The sequence below is a fragment of the Homo sapiens genome, chromosome 9 (assembly GCF_000001405.40).
Source record: "Homo sapiens chromosome 9, GRCh38.p14 Primary Assembly".
Taxonomy (NCBI): Eukaryota; Metazoa; Chordata; class Mammalia; order Primates; family Hominidae; genus Homo; species Homo sapiens.
The window spans coordinates 105,917,971-105,940,869 of NC_000009.12; the positions used below are offsets into that span (position 1 = coordinate 105,917,971).

At 38.0% G+C, this 22,899-nt stretch overlaps 1 long non-coding RNA gene across 2 annotated transcripts in view; it reads left to right on the top strand.

Annotated features, from left to right (window-relative positions):
- The first annotated feature begins 11,010 nt into the window (after positions 1-11,010).
- The window catches only part of LOC107987108 (uncharacterized), a 675,821-nt gene continuing 663,932 nt past the window's right edge, over positions 11,011-22,899 (top strand). For both annotated transcript variants that reach the window (XR_007061713.1, XR_001746870.2), the window contains exon 1: positions 11,011-12,858. This is a non-coding gene — a long non-coding RNA (uncharacterized LOC107987108). The remainder of the gene's footprint in view (positions 12,859-22,899) is intronic.

Here is a 22,899-nt window from a genome sequence, read left to right on the forward strand (position 1 = left end):
TGTGATGGAAAGATTCCAAATATAGAGAGAGGGCAAGTATCAGTGCACAAATACTTTTCAAGTCTCTGCTTGCATCTCATTTACTAATATTTTACTGGCCAAAGCAAGTCACAGGGTCAATCTATCCTCAAAGAATTGAGAAATAGATTCCACTTCTTAAAGGATATCACACATCAATTGCAAGGGCAAGGGTGTAGGGTGCAAAAAAATTTGTGGCCATTCTTATAATCTTCTACAAATGTATTACTAATCTTAACATTAGTAGGTCATCATTTTTTGATGTTATTGGTAACTTGTTGTAAATATAATTTAGATGGCTAAGTAATATGTTACCTAGTGGATGTACTGAAGGTTGCCTGACCATTCCCTTATGTTGGGTAGTGAGAAAATTGCCATTTTTTTCTGCCATTATGAGTAATGCTACAATGGATGCTTTGTCACAAAGCTTTTTCTGGTTTTAGGATTATTTCCTTAAAGTAGTCACAAAAGTGATATTACTGTGTTAAACATTTTTAGAGCTCTTAGTACACTTCGCCAAATTGCTTTCCAAAAGGATTGTATCAATTTACCCTCCCACCAATGTGTGTGAGTACCCCACAGGGATCCTTCTGCAATGCAAATCTGATTGTCTCATGCCTGGTTTAAAACTGGGCTCTGTTGCCTTCACAATAAAGACTAAACTATCTAAGACAAAACTATACCTACTACATGATTTTTGAATAACTGAAAGACTATTTTAGCTTGATGAGACCCTATATTCAAGGGTTATAGAAGCTAGTAGGAGGCAAGACTGGGTAGGTTCAGAACCCAGTTTTCATATTTTCCTGATGGAAACCTGAATTTCTATCATTTTCATGTTGTTTTCAATTAACATGTTGTTGCATGTTTTCAATATGTAAGTATATTATGGAAGAGAAAACTGAGGGTCAGAGAGTTCAGTGCTTAGAGTGGAAACTTACAGCTTTCTATCTGTGGTATCATCTAACTATTTTGCATCATATAATCTTTGAAGAGGAATTCATATACATAAGCTTAAGAACATATTTAACCAATATAAATACATTATAACACACATTTGTTTTGCTGGTTAGAATTCTCTAGTTCTTAAAAATTAAAGACTAAAATTTAGAGTGAGACAGATCTGGATTTGAATTCAGGTTCTGTCATTTACTTGAATTTGAGCAAGACTTAACATCTCTAAGCTTCAATTTTGTTATCTGTAAGACATGGATAATAATACCTAGGTCTTAAGGGTTTGGTGATGATTCAACCTATATTTCAAATGTCAAGCAGAACCATTCAACAGTTCTTCTTATTTGAGATGAATATGTAAATAGAAGGGAAAAAATAAATGTAACCAAAATTAGGAGGCTTTACTAATTTAAGACTATAAATAAAACTGTGTGAATTTTAAAAGTTACCATGGTTTGGGACCTAGTTCAGTCTACTAGTTGAAGTTCTTGCCTTTTCTGAAGTTTACCTGTTCTCAATATTTGTGCTAGCCACAAGGGTGATGAATCATTGCTTCTCCTTGATGCTCACTTATCCCCTGCCTAAAAGGGAGAGCAGAGACCAAAATGACTTCCTTGAGGTGAAGTTCCTCAACCAAGGATTTCCTGGCAGTCCTGTCTGCTCTTCTGGATGCCTCCAGCACCCCATGGCCAGGGAGGAAGGCAGCTATTGATGAGAGCAGGGCTTGCACTTTATTATTTCTCCAGAGGAGTATCTGATGAAGCTTTCTCTGGGCCCCGAGGATCTCAGGACTTGCCTGTTATCCCATTACAGGTAACATATCTACACATTTACTCAGGGCCACCTGGTTTTCTGCTGCTTCTTTACTTAGGGATATTCTAGAATGGCATCATTCAATAGAAATATAGTGTGAATCACATATATAGCTTTGAATTTTCTAGTAGATACACTAAAAAAGTATATATACATATAGATGAAATTAATTTCTATAATGTGTTATTTAACCCAATATACCTAAAATATTATTTCAACATGAAATCTATTTACAATTATTAATGAAATAATTGACATGATTTTGTTTGGAGTTTTTGAAATCTGGTGTATATTTTACCTCTGCAGCACATTTGAAGTTGGACTAGCCACCTTTTAAGTATTCAGTAGGCACACGTGGCTAGTGGCTACTATATGAGACAACACAGTTCTAGAGGAAAACTACCTGGGCTCTAAGTGATACAACTCTCCAGGAGTGTAGGTCTTGTAACTATTTTCCCTGAAAACCTACTTCTGCCTCCAGCTAAGCTGGGTCTGTAAGGATCTTGGTTTACTACATACTGGGTCTAGAATTTGTCCCATTAACCTATTATTTACTGTGTTTATTTTACCAATCAAGACAATATTTCCCATTCAGTGAATTCCCTTTCAGTGGTCTCTTGTGTCTCTCTTTCTATTTTAATTGCTCCTACCCTGATGTATTAGAGAAAAATGTTTTTTAATCTTTGAATATAAACATATAGAGGGCAAGAGAGTCAGAGTCTTAATTAACTTCATTTCTCCCATGAGGCTCCTTTGCTCCTATGTGAATTTGTGGATACAAAGTGATATGTGGGAATCTGTAACCCAAATGCTGTACAAGGATATGATGGGGAATGGATGATTCTTAGCAATAGCCAGCAGTGTCTGAGCGTTAGGCAATGGCCTAGCTAAAATGTTCTGATACATAAGTAATAATGACATGCTCAAGGAAGTGTGATGTTAGATGGAGTATAAAGGAATGATATGGAGGCGCAGAGAGCAAAAACTTCCATACTGGCAGAGACCTCCTAGAGGAAGCAGCACTGGGAAGAATTCTCAATAATGTTAATAGGGTCAACAAGGTCCTACCGAAAACAAGAGCTTCACATGCCTGATTTCTTGATGTAGGAATTATTATCCTTTTTTCAAAGATGAAATAGTGAAACTCAGAGAGGTTAGATAACTTAGGCAAGGCCAAAAATGAAAGGACCCAGGTCTAGGGGGGGGGGTAATCCAAAAACCCTTTTCATTGATTTATTGCTGCCTTTGACTATTAGGTGGTTAAGGATTGACTCAAGGGATCACTTGGAGTGTACATGATGAGACTTCATTAGAGAGCAAGAAGTCTTCGCAGCAAACATTTATAATTTCTTACAAAGGATATATTATAGTGTATCATTGTTCTAGCTGCTATTGCAATGAAACAAATTACTTCAAAATGCCATAAAACAACCCCTTATTATGCTCCTGACTCCATGGGTTAGGAATTCAGACAGGGCAGAGTGACGTTAGCTTATCTCTGTTCTATGTCATGTGAGGCCTCAGTTGGAAGACTCAAAGGCTGAAGGCTGGAATGATTTGAAGACTCATTCACTCGGGTATCTGGTGGTTGATGGTGGTTGAGGCTGGCTGTTCTCCGTGTAACCTCCCTGTGTCATCTCTCCAGGAAGAAAGCTTTGACTTTCTCACAGTGTGGTGGCTGGGTTCTAAAGGCTAGAATCAGATAGAGTCACATTGCTTACCATTGCCTTGCCCCAGAAGTCATGTACCATGTACTCATATGTTATATTCAGCAGGGTGGTCACAAAGCTCCATCTAGTGTCAGTGGGAGGTGAGATAGACTTTGCCTCTTGATAGGAAGTGGCAAGGTTCCAGAAGGGCATTTGGGACCAGAAATATTGCTGGTCCCAATGTGAGGAAAATACATCCTGCCACAGTTATTATCAGTGGTGTTGACCAACTGCTGGATAAGGAAGGAAAGATAGATCAGTAACTGGGAAGAAAATGTTTTATTGGAATGCCAGGCTTTTTTAAGCAAATGTCAAAATAGTGAAAGGGAATTAGGAAAATGATGGAAAGTCAAATTAGTTCAAATGCAAATGGGGAGGCTTCCTCCTGCTGAAGACCCCTTCAAGAAAGCTATGATGTCACTCTTCACTCTTGTCCCCTGGCCTTATGCTCTTCCTTGCAGCCTCCACTGGCCAGGGCTCTGTGTCCTATGTAACCTTTGGTAGCCCAGTCCCAGGTAGAGCCATGACAGGTTGCCTTGGGCCTACCCTCCTTTCTTCATGGCTTAACCTCAAGCCCTCTTTCACTAGAGATTTGGAATTTCATTAAATCAGGGCTTGAACTGAGAAATAACGACTGTCTTTATATGCACTGGCTCTTTACTGGCAAGCTATTATATTAGAGAAAAGCTAAGGTTCTATAACACTGCAGGAATAAAGCCCAGAAAATTTGCGAAAAGCTCCACCATCCAGGATAAATGTTATAGGAGGCATTAACCTTCCATAAAAATCCCTTTGCTAGACAAGAATTTAAATGACCGTCACTGTGAGAGGAGATATTTAGCCTTAGAAACATATTATACTGCCACCTCCTCTTAAAATAGCAAATTCTTTGGTTATCAGTAGTTGAATATTGTTCATCTTTTTCAAAGACATGCTCAGAAATATAGCAAATGTGTATGTGTAGTTTTGTGGGTGTACCCCGTATACCATTTCATAGTTCCAAGAAGTTGTATATACAGTCTCTACTTCTATTTGGGAAAATTGAATAAGAAACTAATATCCAAGCTAAGCTGAATCAAACTCTTCTTGCAGGCTCCAAATTACTTGCCTTGAAGAAAAAAAATTTTTTCTCCCTAAGGCATAAAGCATGATTCTACAATGAGAATGTTAGGTCAGAAATTACAGAGATTATATAAAGTTGGCTCCTCCAGTGAACAACAAACCCATAGGGCAAAGATTTTATAGAAAATTTTATATACATTTTCCATATATGTGTTTATATATGTTTGGTGAAAATCTCAGGTGATCTTCTAATACTGATTATTCTGCTTTAAATCCTCATTCTCTGTGTCCCAACATTGGAAGCATTTGTAACAGAGTGAGAGACCAGACTCTTCCCTATTATCTTAGAGTCTCACTGAAGCTCTAGAGCTGCTTGCTGTAATTCCAGAGTTTGGCTTGAAAAAGATACTGAATTTCTTAATGGGTTGAGTGGATACAAGTTGTTAGTGTCTACCCTTTTGAGATCTACTGTTCTTCCTAAGTGGTTGCTCCCTAGGAATTCACAAATGAGACATTATTTTTCTTTCTGTTGAGAGAACACCTTTGACAATATTGTTTGAGGACCCAGAACTGAAACTTATAATGGGTGGTTGACAGATCCACAATTGCCTTTTAGTTCTTTTAACCATGTTGGCATATTCATGAGTTGATAACTTTAAGAATTTTAAGACTTTCTCCAGACTAAATCACAATAAAACGAACTGAGATTAACTTTGAGAGCTGGAAACAGCTATAAAAAATGAAAATAGACTTAGAGATCTATTAGGGAAAAGTCTGTATGGTTTTTTCCTAATAATAAAATAATGAGGTACTGTACTAGTTTGTATTAGAAAATACTTATTTAGAATATTGGAAAGCTTTATGCTTTAAAGTGGACTAAGTAAAAAAAAAATCTTCAGCACATCATATGTAATCCCAAATGAGATTTGTTATGTTAGGAAAAGTGAAACTATTTATCAAGGGCCACTCTGTGCCAGGCATTATATTCGTTAAATCCATTTGATCACTGGACAATATAGGTGTTATTATCCCACCTTAACAATTAAGAAAACCAGGGCATAAAGAGATCTACCAACTTGCCTAGACTTCACTTTACCTGGAGGAAACCAGAGTTTGCCACCTATCACCTCAGAATCATTTTAGATCGTTAGAGTTTCTCTAAATTTCAACATGGCCAGCCCTTAAGTGACAAACCAAGGTAAAATATCAGATTCTTCCTTTCAGTTAAACCTAATCCATTGACAAATTCTCTCAGTTCTGTTCCTACATTGATCATGAATCTGTGTATTTCCATCTGTCATCACTGGCATCATCACTGGAGTCCAAGGAACCATGATCTCTCTCTAGCCTGACCCCTGCCATGGTTCCGGCCTATGCTCTCTGATTCCTTGCTTGCTCACCTCTCATTATCATCACAGAGAAGCCAGAATGATCTTACAAGAAATAAAAGAAAAATGCATCTCTCTCCTGCTTGGAACTCTCCTGACTTTCTGCTGTACCTAGAACAAAATAATGAATGTCTCATCTTGGCCCACAAGGCCTTGCAGGATCTGCCGCGGCCCTCCTGTCTCTTCGCACCTCTGACAGTCTCCGCTCTGCTCCCAAGCTCCCATCCTTGCTGATATCTGATTATTTCTAGAGAAGAGCAGACTCTCTCCTGCTTCTTGCTTTTTTTCCCCCTCACCTTAGTCTATTCTTCCCCTGGCTCCTCACATGGCTGGATCTTGCCCCTATGGTCTCAGTTTGAAGGCCAGTTCCTCAGTGAGGCCTTCCTGGACCACCTTATTTAAAGCAAACTTCTCCGCTGTGTTGTTTGTTATTACAACACCTTGTTCTCTTTCTTCGAGGCACTGGTGAAAAACTGTGATTTTTTGGGTTGTTTGCTTACTTGTGTGTTATCCCTCCTTGCCCCTTACCCTGCTCTGACTGTAAACCACATGAGAGCAGGAACTCTGTCAATCCATGCCTCAGTGCCCAACACATGGAGGGCATTCAATAATGATTTGATGAATCAACTAGTCCATATTTGGGTGGTTTTTCTGCTCGTTAAGCCCCTCACCATCCCAAGTCATAAAGTCTATTCAATGACCATTTGCTTTTTTAGTGTCTTACTGGCAAAAATATTAGAGTTGGCTTTAAGCCCTCTGGTCTCCTCTCCCGTTTCAACCATTAATTTGCTGTGTAACATGGAGCAAGTCATTATTCTTCTCTGGTCTTCATTATTTCTCTTCTGCTAAATGAGGGGTGGAAAGCAGAGATTCTCTAAATTCCTTCCCAGCCCTGACTTCTGATTATTCCCAATTTCCCTACCACTGTCTTCCCAGAGAAACCTCAATTGAAGTAGCTTGGTTTTAACTAAGTCCTTATATGGAATGCAGTCTGCAATTTATTTAGGTGGGCCCAGTGTTTCTTTTCTGTTTGGAGACTTTTGGGTGATGTTAAAGGAATGCGCTAGGTGCTGATGTCTCGGTGCTGACCCTCTGACAGTGCTGCCCAGGGAGGCAGATGGGTTTACTGCTGGCAGCCACTTGTAATGATGGGGAGAAACCCATTTGCCTCTTGCAACCCTCAGCCAGGTCGGACAAGCACTGAGGAGAGACCAGTACTTAATAATGCATAGTGCTGTCAGCTTCTAATTTTCATCATCCCGGGAGGGGATCCTGGTCTGAAAAAGGTGACTAGAGGCTGAGAAGACAAGTTCCTGAGTATGGGCTGGATTAGGACTGTGTGGCAGGGCCCAGTCAGCCACCTGTGTCCCCTGCCTGTAGGAATCTGCTTTCTTCTACAAGGATTGTCTGGGGATGGAGAAGGAGAGAAAGGTGGGTGTTCTTTGCTGTGCTAGATGCTGTATGTGCACTGCATCACTGAACTCTGTGAGGAAGTTAGAATTTTCATGCTATCCCTATTTTCCAGGTGGGAAAGCTGAAGTGTATATAGAGAGGTTAAGTAACTTGCTTGAGGTCCTAGTGTTAGGAAGTGGTAAGGTTCTGGAGTGTTCCCATTGCAATCCCTACTCCTTTCTTGTCTCATTGGACAGTTTCTGGTATCACAGGGGATCCTGAACACTTCAGAAGGAGCCATTCTCAGGAAACTGTTTGATAAGCCAATGTGGTGGTTGGAGTGTGCTGGGATGATATTTGGCAGACAAATTCCCAAATTCACAACAACTGAGCTTTGCAACTTTATTATTATTTTTAAATAAAATTAGGCAAATTGCATCAGAGGTCAAGATAGAGACAAACAAATGAGTACAGAGAAGAATCCTTTGCTTAATAGGAAAAAAAACCCAATAATGTTCAAGTAAACTTTAAAAAAAATATTTTTATTTATATCTCTGTTGACATCATGGCTTTTGGATATTTTAAGAAAGCTAAAATTTCCTCAAGCCAGCAAATCAACCTTCCAGAAGGTAGCTGAGAGCCAGAAGGAGGAGATATTCAACCATGTTTTTGGAGTGCCGACACTGGTCACTGGAGATAAAAAGGTGAAAACGACACAGCCCCTGCTCTTGCAGTCAGCCTGAGGGTGGAGGTCGGGGATCGACAAGTAAGTGGACAATTTAATACGCTGTGGTTCAGGCTATGACAGGACTGAGGACAGGAGCCTGTGGGAATAGGGGAGCGAAGGTTCTGCAGAGGAGATGAATTTTGAAATGGGGCTAGAGGATAAGCCAGCAACAAAAGGGGGAGAGTGGAGGGACTACAACAGGCAAAGCTGTGGAACCGCTGGACTGCAGAGTGTCTGGGGAAGTAGGAAAAGAGGCTGGAGAGATGGATTATAACCTGCTTGTAAAGAGCTTTGAATTTCAGACTGTGGAACAGAGTAGAGGGAGGTTGTTCTAACAGTCCAGGAGAGATTGAAACAGTCTTGAACCTGGCCAGTGGCAGTGTAGGAAAGAAGAGAAGAAGAGAATAGGACAGTTCCCTATTGCATAAGGAATTCTACCTGTAGAATTCTTATATTAAGATGGTAGAATGGCACAAAGTAGACACTCACTGTTTGAATAAAAGCTGGGTGTTACAGATGGATTGCATTACACATGTGATTAGATATTTACATAGAGATACACACTCACATTCACCAGCTATATAATTTTCATGATAAATAAATATACCTGGGAATTTTAAGTTAAAACATTTATTTTCATAACAGAAAGTGAATGCAAATTATGGCGATTTTGAGGCATCTAATGCTTCGTACATTAAGATGACAAATTGTTCTTTGCAAATAATTCATATTTAGTAACAAAGTTTTCTGCTTGATTGCCTATTATTTTATTGTGCTATTACAGATATTGTATTTGATCTTAGAGTGGAATTTGCTGTTCCATGTCATTAAATAAATTCTCAGGCATATATTTTATTTCATTCCTCAGAGAATTGAAGGAGTTCAGTAGCTTTGAAGCATGTGCCTGTCTTCCAGGGTGTTAGAAAAACAGAAAACACCTTGTTGCAATTCCCTTTTTTTTTTTTTGAAAAAAGATGACATTGAAGATGGGATATGCTCATGGTGTGATGATGGAGGTGGGCTGAACAGCTTATGACTACTTGTCTTTCAGGGCTAGAGAGAGCCCATGACTGCCTGCCCTGCCAGTGTAAATTAGATTCACTTCCCTGCCTGTCCCCCAGTCTATCTCCTGGCACCCTGTTTTCATACTTCACAGTGTTTATCACAATTGTGAATTATATATTTGTGGTAGATTAAATATGGCTGCAAATTCTTCTTCCGTCAGGAAGAAGTGGGGTCTGTGTACTCTCCTTTGAGTCTGGGAAGGCTTCTATGGCTGCTAGACCAATAGAACATGGCAGAAATTATTATGTGGGAGTATCCAGGCTCAGACGTTAATAAACTGGAAGCTTCTGCTTCCCATCTCTTGGAAGACTTCCTGGAGCCTGGAGCTTCTAAGCAAGAAGTCTGATCACTCTGACACTGCCACACTGAAGAGTTCCTGTATAGGCTTTCTGGTCAACTGTCCTAGCTGGGCCCTGTTTTCCAGCCATCCCTGCTGAGGCATATGATGTGCTGGTGAACTACTTTGGACCCTCGAGACTACAGCATATCTGCTAGTTAAATACTGACCTTCATCCACATCATGTGGAACAGAACTGCCTAGCTAAACTCTGCCTGAATTCCTCACCCTCAAAATTGTGAGATGTAATAAAATGGTGGATGCCTTAAGCCATTACATTTTTGAGTAGTTTGTTATGTGGCAATAGACAACTGGAACAACATTCATGTTTATTTACTTATTACTATCTATTTTCTCCTTTAGACTGTAAGCACCACGAGGACAACTGGGGCCATACCTGTTATGTTCACCATTGTGTATTCACTTAGCCCACTCTTGGCACACAGTAAGAATTTAATAACTATTTATTTAAAGAATAAATGGAAGTTCTATGACAGAAATCGGACAGAGTAGTTAGCCTAAAACCTAGGTGTGGATCCTCTACTCAAAGACTCCTTGGGTTTCTTCTAACGTGGTCTGTGTTCTGATATTAAACCTCTTTTGCTTTGTTTGCATGGGATACATTCTGAAGCTAAGGGTGCTGTTAGTTTCGATTGAGGGATATATTCTTTTTTCTAGCACACATCACATGCCCATTTTTTTTCCTGGAGCCAATGGAGGAAGTGTGAACATTATTTCATTCTGGAATTAATTAAGAAGCAGTATCTATCTATCTATCTATCTATCTATCTATCTATCTATCTACCTATCATCTCTATTCATCCATCTAATCATCTCTATATCTATGTATCTATCCATCTATCTGTCTACCAATCATAGTTTTGGTTCTGAGGCTCTGATGCAACACTTGAAAAATAGTTATTGGGTTTATTGGCATTTGATACCTCACTGTGTACGGAGAAACAAGCATGTTTACATTGGAAAGAATGGCTTCCTTGCCTGAATGGCTCTGATAGCCAAGCTTCTGCTTTCTCAGTGTCCACAAATTGTAACCATTAGTAAGGCATTCATTAAAAAGTGGAATGCTGGCACAGAGTGCTTTTTCTTTTCACTACGCAATTGTATATCTGTGCCAGCAAATCTACTTATTATTATTTTGTTTGGTTGCAATTTCACCTCCCACACCACAACATATGGTAAACATTTGATGATTCTTGAAGATTCTTTATTAACTTCTCCAATAACCTTTTTCATCCCCTAGATGATAGGTCTTTTGGAAAAGGCCAATCAGATGTGACTGTCGAGGTGGCTTGACAATATCCTTCTGGATGGTTTTAATAATAGTATTTTGTTTTCTTAAGAACAGCACTTTATAGTGAATTAAAAAAAAAACGCTGCCATGACTTTTTGGCTGGCTGTGTTTTAAATGGGCTGTCCTGTGTGTGTGTACATCATTAATACAACCCCTTGGCTGGGAGGTGGGTGTGTATCAAGACAATTGGATGATGGACTGGATACTTACTTTCTCACAATTGGGCATTTTATATTAGGTAGATCAGAGTCCTAAAAGCCCTCTTGTTTCATTATTGCGTATATTTTTCCTTGTGGGGATTTTAAAGAATTTGATGGTATAGTCAGAGATAATGTAAAAAGCAATGTCTGGTAATAATTTATTAATGTGATTAGTTCTATGGAAGACTCAGGGAACAATTACTTTTAGGGGGTCCATTGGGTATAGGTGTGTAAGTGGATAGAAGAAGGGGTGCTCATGTTGTCAGTGATTGTGGTAAAAGCTATGTTGTACCAAGGGAGTCTTAACATTTCATTCATGATTGAAAGTAATCAAGAAAAGCTGGTGTTTCAGTCAGGATTCATTTGGTTATAAATGATGACAAAACAAATCAGACTGTCTTTAAAAAAGATAACATTTATTGACACATGTAATTGAAAATTCTAGTTCTTCAGGCATAGTTGAATCCAGGTGCTCAAATCATGTTACCACGTTGGAGTCACTCTAAGGAATGCTTTTTCTAAATGGTAGTAAAGAAGGTCTCTGGCAACTCAAGGCTTTTGTAGCTCTTACAACTTAACATTTTAGAGAACCCAGAATACATTCTTTTCTAAAAGCTTCAGCAAAATTCCTGGAGGTTATTCTCATTGGGCTTATTTAGGTCATTTAATTATCCCCAAACCATTAACTGTGGCCAGAAGGAGGATGTGTTCTAATTATCCAGGTCTGGGCAATATTCTTAGCCCTGGAACTGAGAGGTAAGGTCAACTCCAAGTGTTGATTAAAAATGGTGGCAGAGTGGTTTCTTTCAGGAGAGCTTCAAGACCTGTTTCATTACGATTGCTTATTAGTCTTCTGGGATCCTAGGAGCAAAGAGTGGGATGCTTCCTGAATAGAGATTTGGGTGGGAAATTTGAATCGAGACCCATTTTGCCATTTTCACTAAATGATCATGGGCGGGTACTTTCTCTCATGGGGTCTGAGATTCCTTATTTGTAAAGTGAAGAGCTTGGATGAGGTGATTCTGATAATCCTATCTGGCTCAAAGCTTCTACAGTTTTCTCTTTACCCTTGCTAGAAGGATTATTGTAAACATCCAGGGGGAAAAAGTATGTAATGTGCTCCAAACTGGAGGGATTTCTGACTCTCATGTTGATGGTGATGATGATGACAGCAGTCCTGCACTCTATTAGAAACAGCCCCCGGTCCTCACTGCTCTCAGAGACTCTGCTTTAGAGCTCTTCCTCTCACTTTCCCCAACGCTCATCAGCAATGCTGGCAAGACACATTCTGGCTGCTGTAAGGTCACTGGGATAAATGGGAAGGTTGGCCGATTGCCTGAAAATGAGTTTGGCTTAAAAGTTTCTTGCCCAAGAAATGGAAAGAAAAAACCTGCTGGGATAGCCAAGGGGAAAGAGAAGAGTGAGTGACCTCTTTATAAAGAACTGCAGCCCTGGAAATCTGACTAATGGCTGAAGAGGGTACGTGATGATAACTCACAGCGGCCACTTGGATTTAATTATAGCAACATTTGCAGACAATAAGTGGGTCTTGAGTGAAGCCTGCCTATGATATGGCAGTGACAAAAGCTAATCTGGATTTCTAGCCAAAAGGATGGATGAGAAATGACTTGGGAACATTTCCTGTAGAATATTTTTGTTGTTGTTGTTATCACCATGGCCAAATATTTATTAAGGTTCTTGGGGTGAAGATGGTACTGTTCTAAATTGTGGAAAGAGAAGTGGACTTGGAATTAGAAAACCTGGGTTTACTTCTGGAGATTTTACTTATTCACTGGATCTCATTTTCATTATTTCAAAATAGAAGCTGTGTTCTTTGCGGTCTTGAAAATTAGTAATTTTGAGACTACAGGTTCGGCTAAGGTACGTTCTAGTTTTTAAAACATTCTCTGGTTTTTAAACTTCTCTTGCTTACATATAATAAAAGAAGATAAGAGTCTTGACTTTTAGGTACTCCTAATAAAAAGGACTCATAGAGAATGTAGTAGAAAAATTAAAATTCTTAATAATAAGCTGTCAATAGGATCCTAGGAGAAAAATCATGGTCTGAACAGTAAAGTCAAACATTTTTCCAACTTGCTTTCTGTTTATTGAGTATTTATATGTCAGCAGTGTGTTTGGTAATTTATGTACAGATCAATACTGTGGGGTAGGTTTTACTAAACCTGTTTTAAAGGTGAGGTTACTGAAGGTCAGATAGGTTGAATAATTTGCTCAAAAAATTATAGTTTTTAGAATGAACATTAATAAATTTCTAATCTCAAAATTAACTTTCAAGGCTACAAAAAACAAAGCTCTTCACTTTGCAAATGATGAAAATGAGGCTAAGTGAATAAGGAGGAACTCTGGAAATGAACGCAGGTTTTCTAGCTCCAAGTCCAATAGGTAAACTTATGAGGGGTGGAGTGGGAATTCAGGTCTGTCTGAACCAAGGGTTGCTCTCCTAGCACTATGCTATACTTTGGCTCTGTTTCTTTCTCCTTACCGCCTCTCTAGGTCTCGTTAAATGCAGGCAGCTTGGGAGTTTCTGGTCTTAGAAACCATCCTCTAGAAGTAGGTTTCTGCCTGGTATCTGGAATGTTTGAAATCCAAGCTTTGAGAATAGTGAAGGCAAGGCTCTTCTGCAGTTACACAGAGTGTGGAAGCGTCTGGGGAATGGGACCCTAGAGGATGTGGAGTATTGCGGTTAGTAGCTTGCAGTCAGCTAGCACTGCAAGAATATTGGTTGGTGAGGATGTTTGCTCCTTTTCTCTTTCAAACAAACGCCATTTTCTTACGTGCAATGGAGTTGTGCCTTCCAAGAGGATGGTCTTAAAGGGATTCTGATTATATCTCATATCTCTGTAGTATTCATGACCATTAAATGATTATTTTCCTTTGGCTGAATAATGCCTTGTGAAAGAGCTCAATCACTGTATCAGTTAACTTTTTCTGCTTATAAACCTTTCCAAATTTAATGGCTTAAGCAATAAACATAGATTTAGATTATGATTCTATGGATCAGCAGCTCAGGCTGGACTCGGGTAATTCTTCTGGTCTTGGATTGCCTCAGTCTTACATCTACTACCAATCACCTGGGTGGCTTTCTTTTGGGGACTAGTGGGCCATTGGCTGGAGAAATGGGGGCAGCTAGGTCATATGTCTTTCATCATCAAGCAGGATAACCCGGGCTTGTTTACTTGACGTTTGGACAGGATTTCAAGAGAGAGAGGAGAACTGTGCAAGTTCTCTTGAGTATCAAAACTGTCTTAACATTACTTTTGCTGCATTCTATTTGCTGAAACAAGCCACAAAACCCACCCTGATTAAACAAGTTGGGAAATAGCTTTCATCTTTTGATGGGAGCAGTTGCAAAGATACATTGCAAAGGAGAATTCATACAGAAAAGCACTCTGTTGTGTCAATTTTTGTGAACAGTCTACCACACCCATTCCTATTGATATTGAGCTGATGAATGACCACATAGATGTCACAGTTGCTATAGAATAATAGCACCCTGCAATAGAAAATAGGGCATTGTCTTCAGTGAATAGATGGAGCTTTCATTGCAGATTTTTGTCCTTTCTCATTTCAGAAGGAATTTGGGGGGGCTTGCAGAGATTCATGTAGCAGGACAAGGTCAAAGAGAAAATAGAAGGCTTAGGAGCCAGGAGCATAGTTAGTATGAGAATACACAATTTCTTGTATAGTGGCTAGAGGTGGTCTACACATTTGCATCTGGTCTCCTCATAGCCAAAGTACAGAGGAGAACATGATCAGTTGTATGAACAATGGTATCCATAAGAGAAAAGGAGTCTAGCATCTCAGTTCAGTGTTTGGTGTGACAGGTCAGAGTTGGTATGAGTGTAGCTTAGGGAGGGAGCTTTTCTTTGAGCCTCATGGGAAAACTTGTGGGGTAAAATGGACTAAGCAAAATTTGAAAAGAGGCTGAATCAGGGTACTCCAAGTCAATATGTATATATTGAGTATATTTGATAATAACTAAAGCTCACAGTCACATTTTAAAAGTTGTAGGTGCTTTACAAGTTCAAAAGATCTAGTGCATCATCATCTTTTTTGTTGTGGGAAGTCAGGGACCCCAGATGGAGGGACTGGCTGGAGCCAAAGCAGAGGAACATAAATTGTGAAGATTTCATATTAATATGGACATTTATCAGTTCCCAAATAATACTTTTATAATTTCTTATGCCTGTCTTTAATCTCTTAATCCTGTTATCTTTGTAAGCTGAGGATGTACGTCACCTCAGGACCACTGTGATAAGTGTGTTAACTGTACAAATTGATTGTAAAACATATGTGTTTGAACAATATGAAATCAGTGCACCTTGAAAAAGAACAGAATAACAGCAATTTTTATGGAATGAGGGAAGACAACCATAAGGTCTGACTGCCTGCGGGGTCTGGCAAAAAGAGCCATATTTTTCTTCTTGCAGAGAGCCTATAAACAGACGTGCAAGTAGGAAAGATATCGCTAAATTCTTTTCCTAGCAAGGAATATTAATATTAATACCCTGGGAAAAGAATGCGTTCCTAGGGGGAGGTCTATGAACGGCCACTCTGGGAATGTCTGTCTTGTGCAGTTGAGATAAGGACTGAGATACTCCCTGGTCTCCTGCAGAACCCTCAGGCTTACTAGGGTGGGGAAAAACTCCGCCCTGGTAAATCTGTGGTTAGACCGGTTCTCTGCTCTCGAACCCTGCTTTCTGTTGTTTAAGATGTTTATCAAGACAATATGTGCACTGCTGAACATAGACCCTTATCAGTGGTTCTGCTTTTGCCCTTTGCCTTGTGATCGTTGTTAGACCCTTATTAGTAGTTCTGCTTTTTGACCTTTGAAGCATGTGATCTTTGTACCTACTCCCTGTTCTTACACCCCCTCCCCTTTTGAAACCCTTAATAAAAACTTGCTGGCCTGAGACTCAGGCAGGCATCAAAGTCCTACCGATACGTGATGTCACTCCCGGCGGCCCAGATGTAAAATTCCTCTCTTTATACTGTCTCTCTTTATTTCTCAGCCAGCTGACACTTATGGAAAATAGAAAGAACCTACGTTGAAATACTGGGGGTGGGTTCCCCCAATACTTTTTTTTTTTTTTTTGAGACAGAGTCTCGCTCTGTCACCCAGGCTAGAGTGCAATGACACAATCTCGGCTCACTGCAAGCTCTGCCTCCCGGGTTCATGCCATTCTGCCTCAGCCTCCTGAGTAGCTGGGACTACAGGTGCCCGCCACCATGCCCGGCTAATTTTTTGTATTTTTAGTAGAGACAGAGTTTCACCGTGTTAGCCAGGGTGGCCTCGATCTCCTGACCTTGTGATCCGCCCCACCTTGGCCTCCCAAAGTGCTGGGATTACAGGTGTGAGCCACTGCACCCAGCCTCATCTTTTTATTGGCACTAACAATGAGATAAGTAGGGAAGATATTATAATATAACCCTTATTTAACACATAAGGAAACTCAGAGAGGTCAAGTGACTTGCTCAAGGTCATATGGTATAATAATACATGTTGTCTAACTTCTGTGACACTGAGTTGTGTCAGAAATATTGGATGAGATGCTTTGGAAGATACAGAGGAGTGGCATGGTCTCAAACTATGAAATCTTCAGGGAGGAAAAGACTTAATAATGGTAAAAATAAGAATAAAAGTGCTTTTATCTTGCCTTCTTTTTTATATGTATTATTTCTGTTAATCTTTGCGCAGCCTCTTTGAGTTATTATTTCCATTTTACAGATGCTAACCAGAGGCTCAAAGAGTATAAAAACTTGACTATCTTTTCCAAGATGGTAGTGGCAATGTTGGTTTGTAATCCCAGGTCTCTCTTAGATCAAATTCTGGAGACTTCCCACTAATGGATGCTGGCTGAGACACAGGTACACTTGATATTAGTAGGGGACACTATAAGATAGTGTATAACAATATGCAAATAGAGTCTTAGGAAATCAGAAGAAGCAGAGGCCAGGACAAATGATCTTCACAGGAGAGAATTCAAGAAGGAACACAGAATTCGCTAACACTCAAAGGATTGACAATGATGCCCATGGGAACAGAAGGCCAAAGTGTAGGCCAGGCAGGGGAATGGCACCAGGATAGTGGGTGATGTGCGTTCAGAGTAACCATGGATGAGCATTACTTTTTAAAATTTATTCAACTTATTGAATGAAGACTTATTGAGAACTAATGGTGAAAACAAAGATGAATTAGATCTGACCTGGCCCTCAAAAAACTCGAGATAAACATCAAAAACCATAAGGAAGGTTGTGGGAACTGAGGTGAAGGAAGTACTGGTTAGCCAAATAGTGATAAAATTGTCAGGATGAGGATCTTGAGCTTGATTTTATTGAGATAAGGAAGAAAGAAAACACACATACAAACGAAAACAAAAAGAATAAAAGAGAAAAACCTGTATGTAAATATAAGTATTCTGTAAGTCAGATGACAAGTGTAAGGAGAAAACAGTCTTAACGTCAACTATTGAATAGTCTGAATTCGATTATTGAATAGACTAACAACAGTCTTAATGTCAACTCTGCTAGCTGAGTGTCCCGAAGAGGCTACAGGTCCAGATACTAGGCCAAACTGTGGCAGAGAGTTCGAGAATCTTGAATGCAGGAGATGGCTGCAGATTTCCTTGGCACCATCATGAGCCTTGGCCTGAAAACAATAGTTAGAGCTAAAATATGTATTTATGTGACTTTCTTAAAAAAAAGTCACATTGTTTTCTCTGATAGATGTAATATATGTGCATTGTAAAAAAATTTTTTAATACAGAAAAGAACAAAGGTAAAAATCATTCATAACTATACCATCCAGAGAGGAACATTGTGAACCTTTTAAAGAGCTCCCTCTAGACATTTTTCCTAGTCATGTGTCTTATATAGCTGTATTCATCTATTTCCTCTTATGTGTGGTTTAGAGAGTGATAGCTCAATCCTTGCCCTTATCTCTGAAAACTTTTTTAGGAGTCTTAGACGTGGAATCACTTGGTTTCGTTAAGGATAGTCTTATTACTAAAATTATTTCTAGGAAAGGTTTAGCAATTTTTACTCTCACCATATATGAGAATGCTCATCTTAATGCACCGTTGCCAGTCTTGAGTTGTATCATTAAAAATAAATCTATTCCCCAAACCCCATAAACCCAGTATAATCATGCATCAGGCAAATCCAAGAGGGAGACATTCTACAAAATACCTGATTAGTGCTCCTCAAAACTGTCAAAGTCATCAACAACAAGGAAAATCTGAAAAACTGTCACAGCCAAGAGGAGCCTAAGGAGACATGATAACTACATGCAATATGGTCTCCTGGATGGGATCTGGGAACAGAAATGTTAGGTCAAATCAAGGAAATCTGAATATGGAGTTAATAAATAATAGTGTATCAATATTGATTAATAATTTGTCTCAAGTTTACCATACTAATGGAAGATGCTTATAATAGGGGAAACTGGGTGTGGGATGTATCTTCACAATTTTTCTGTAAATTTAAAGGTGTTCTAAACTAAGTTTATTAAAAAATAAAGCATGCACACAAGCAAAAGTGTAACAAATGAAGTCACTGATGTGAACAGATAACTATGACTGCATTTCTGAAATTTGCTAATATTGCTAGTCTATACCTAACATAATGATTTGTGATCTCTAAGGTTTTCTTGAAATAACCAGAGATCACAGATGAAATTGCAGAAGATAATCATATATAATACATATTAGGTTGAAAGTATGGTGCTTAAGAACATAGAGACTGGAATCAGAATGCCTCAGTTTAAACCCTGGTTCTATTATTTACCAGCTCTATGATCTTGGGTTAGTTATCTCATTAATCTGTGCCTTGGTTTTTGAGTCTGTAAACTAATGATAAAATACTTCAGTGGGTTTCTCTGAGAATAAAATATGTTGATATTTGTACAACAATGCCAGGCAGTTAGTGCTATAAAAATGTTTAATAGTGAGAAAAAAATAAGTCTGTTAATTTACTTATGGTACAAACATTTATTGAGCACCCCTGTGTACCAGGCATTATGTTAAGTGTTAAGGACAATTGTGAAAAAGAGAGACAATGCTCCTGCCCTCAAGGAGTTTACTGTTTAATTGGCATAGAGAGACAATAAACAAACAAGTAATTTTATATTGCAATAGTGCTAGGAAAGAAATAACAAGCCCAAAGTGATGGTAAAAAAGATGCCTTAGTTGGCTGGGCGTGGTGGCTCATGCCTGTAATCCCAGCACTTTGGGAGTCTGAGGCGGGTGGATCACGAGGTCAGGAGTTCGAGACCAGTCTGGCCAACATAGTGAAACCCCGTCTCTATTAAAAATACAAAAAAAATTAGTCAGGCATGGTGATGTGTGCCTGTAATCCCAGCTACTTGGGAGGCTGAGGCAGGAGAATTGTGTGAACCTGGGAGGCAGAGGTTGCAGTGAGCTGAGATCATGCCACTGCACTCCAGTCTGGGTGACAGAACGAGACTCCATCTCAAAAAAAAAAAGAAAAAAAAAGAATAAATGCTTTATTTATATTTATTTGACTCCTTGTGATAATGAATATGTATTAATATTTTTGTTAATGACTTAGTCTTTTGTCAATTGTGTGTGCCTTTTGTCTGTGTTTCTGTTGTGTGATTTTTTTTACACTGATTTGTAAGGGCTGTTATTTATTTATTAGTGGTGCTAATCTTTTCCCTAGTTTTATATTTGCCTTTTATTTTTTTGAGACAGGGTCTCACTCTGTTGCCCAGGCTGGAGTGCAGTAGTATGATCATGGCTCACTGCAGCCTTGACCTCACCTCACCAGTAGAGACAGAATTTTATTACACCGTGTTGCCCAGGCTGGTCTCAAATTCCTGGACTCAATTGATCCGCCTGCCTCAGCCTCCCAAAGTGCTGGGATTACAGGTGAGAGCCACTGTGCCTGGTCTACTTTTGTTTTAAATATATATACATGCAAGATTTAAATTTTCATGAGGGCCGCTTTATCCCACTTTTCTTTGAGACTTCCTCCATTGCTTTTACAAGAAAAGCATAACATTTTTCTTCAATCCCCAAACATGTTTTCTAATATATTTTTCTTTCAAATATTTCCTGAGTTCATTTTTTACATTTAGCTCTTTTATTCATCTGAGTTTTATTTCTGGATAAATGTGATGTAAAGATTCAGACAGAAATTTTTTCTAAATCTGGTCAATTTCTTGAATAATCCTTTTTCCTTCTATTTACTTGTGAAGTTATTATCATTTCCTAAATTCTTTTACATACTAGAGGTTTATTTCTGTAATTTCTATCATATTTCTCTGGTTTTAAAAACATTACCATACTGTTTTGATTACTGTATCTCTATGGAATATTTTATTATTGATATGGCAGTTGCTACCTCCTCACCTTTTCTCCTCCAAAATGTTCAGTTATTACTACCAATATTTTCTTTCAGATAAACTCCTAAGTTATTTTGACAAACCCATAAAAGTCCAACTAAGTGATTGGAATTTTATCAACATCTTATACTATATTGAATAGAGTTTTTGTGTTTCCAACATTACAATTAATGTTCCATCGAGGAACATATTACATTTGTTAATTTGTAAGATTTTCCTTCTTATTTCTATATAAAATCTTCCCCAAATAAATTATTAAATATTTAACTCTATTTTCACTTATTTGAATTGAAATGTAATTAAATATTCAATGCTTATGTGAATTTCAACGTAGTATATCTACTCACTTTTATTTATTAGTATGTCTATTCTATGGTTTTAATCATTATACTTGTGTAGTACATCTTGATATCTGGTGGTGCAAGTTACCTTTTATTATATTTACTTTTTTTCACTTAAAAATTGATACACAATAGTTGCACATATGTAATATCACTATTTGTTTTCAAAATAGAGATACTCCATTCGTATTTTTCTTTTTTTCCTTCTATGAGATTTGCTTTGCTGTTCTTCATTTCTAACTTCTTTTGCTACTGATTAGTTGTTTTATTTTCAGTCTTTTCTTGATATCATTTTTAAGGCTGTGAATCTGGCTCCAGTGATAAATTTGGCTGCACTGCATAAATTTGTAATGTAATATGTCCACTATTCCTATTCTCTAATTACACTGTAATTTGGATTTGCCATTAATGATTATTTACAACATAATTTTTAAGATTTCAAAACAGTTGTTTTTCTTTATTTGCATAAACATTCTTTTAATTTTAAATTTCATTATGCCGCAGTCAAAAAATGTGACTTGTACAATTGATGATTTGGGGGATTCATGTGGTTTTTCATGATTAAACTTTGTGTTCCCAACATAAAAAAAATGATAAATGTTTGAGATGATGGATATGATAATTACCCTGATCTGATCACTAGACATTGTGTGTATCAAAGCATCACTATGTACCCCATGTATACAATTATGATGTGTCAATTAAAAAAACTTTCAAGGCCAGGCACTGTAGCTTAGGCCTGTAATCCCAGCACTTTGGGAGGCTGAGGTGGGCGGATCACTTGAGGTCAGGAGCCTGGCCAACATGGAGAAACCCTGTCTCTACTAAATACACAAAAATTAGCCAGCCGTGATGGCAAGCGCCTGTAGTCCCAGCTACTCAGGAAGCTGAGGCCCAAGAATAGCTTGAACCTGCGAGGCAGAGGCTGCAGTGAGTCAAGATAGTGCCATCGTACTCCAGCCTGGATGACAAAGCGAGACTCTGTCTCAAAAAGAAAAAAAGAAAAAAACAAAAATCTTTCAAGAAAATTTATACATCTAGAAAAAATTAAATAGCACAAATGAGTTTGTCTGAAAAGCAAGAGTTAACCTGTCAACCTTTTCTTATTCTTACTCTGTCTCTTGCCTTTGTGTTTTTACTTTCTTTGGGGATTGTTTTCACACCTCCTTATAATGTGTTTATGCTGCCATTACTTGATTTATCAATTGTAGGTAATATTAATTGACTCTGCACTATGGACAGTGAGAATTAACATCCTTACATTATTTATTTTCCCTTTCCCAATTTCTAATAGTTAAATGAAACTTTTCAGTTCTTTTATTAATTACTGTAAAAATTTTACAACATTAAATATCTTTCTCATGTATATTTACAAGTTTTGTTTTTAGATATTTTGATATTATTCACCACTTATATAACCACGATTGTTCTACCTTCAATATGTGTTGTGACCATTATCACTATATATTGGCATTTTCTCTTACATTGCATTTTTTGCCTTAAATTCTTATTTTTTTGATATTAATAGTCATCTCTGCTCTTCTCTTTTGTTTTTCTCTTTTTTGACCAACACTTTTGTTAATCTCTCCAAAGCATTCTTGCTGAGAATATGAATTTGATCTCTTACCTAATGTTAAGAATTTTCTTAACATATTATAATTTAGACTTATCTTACCTGGTGTTAAGAATTTCACCTAGTGTTGAGAATCTTCTTAACTGACATCCTTGAGAGTCTTCTTAACACTAGGTAAGAGAAGTCTAAATTATAATATGGAAGTCTAAATTAGGTATATTTTGATAATGACATGTCTGTCATTTATTTTTATTTTTTTTAAAACTTTTTTTGATTTCCAATTTTTTGCTCTATGGACATTGATTTCTTTGGTTTTAGTAATCCTACTTCTATCTATATTACTCTACAAATCAACGTAACAATTTTAATTTTTCCGACATATAGTAATGAAATAAACATGTTTTTGCTACTCTTATCTTTTCCCCTACCCATTTCCGGACTCTGATAACACTGTCTATTGACACAGAGCTATTATTAAATTATCTTTTTCACTTTTGTATTTATTTTCTTTTAAGATAATATTCTATTTTCTAGCCACATTTATAATACTTGGTTACCCTGAGTTCTATGTTTACTGATTTCACATAATGTCCAGTTTTTTAATACTATGGAAGTTTCATTTT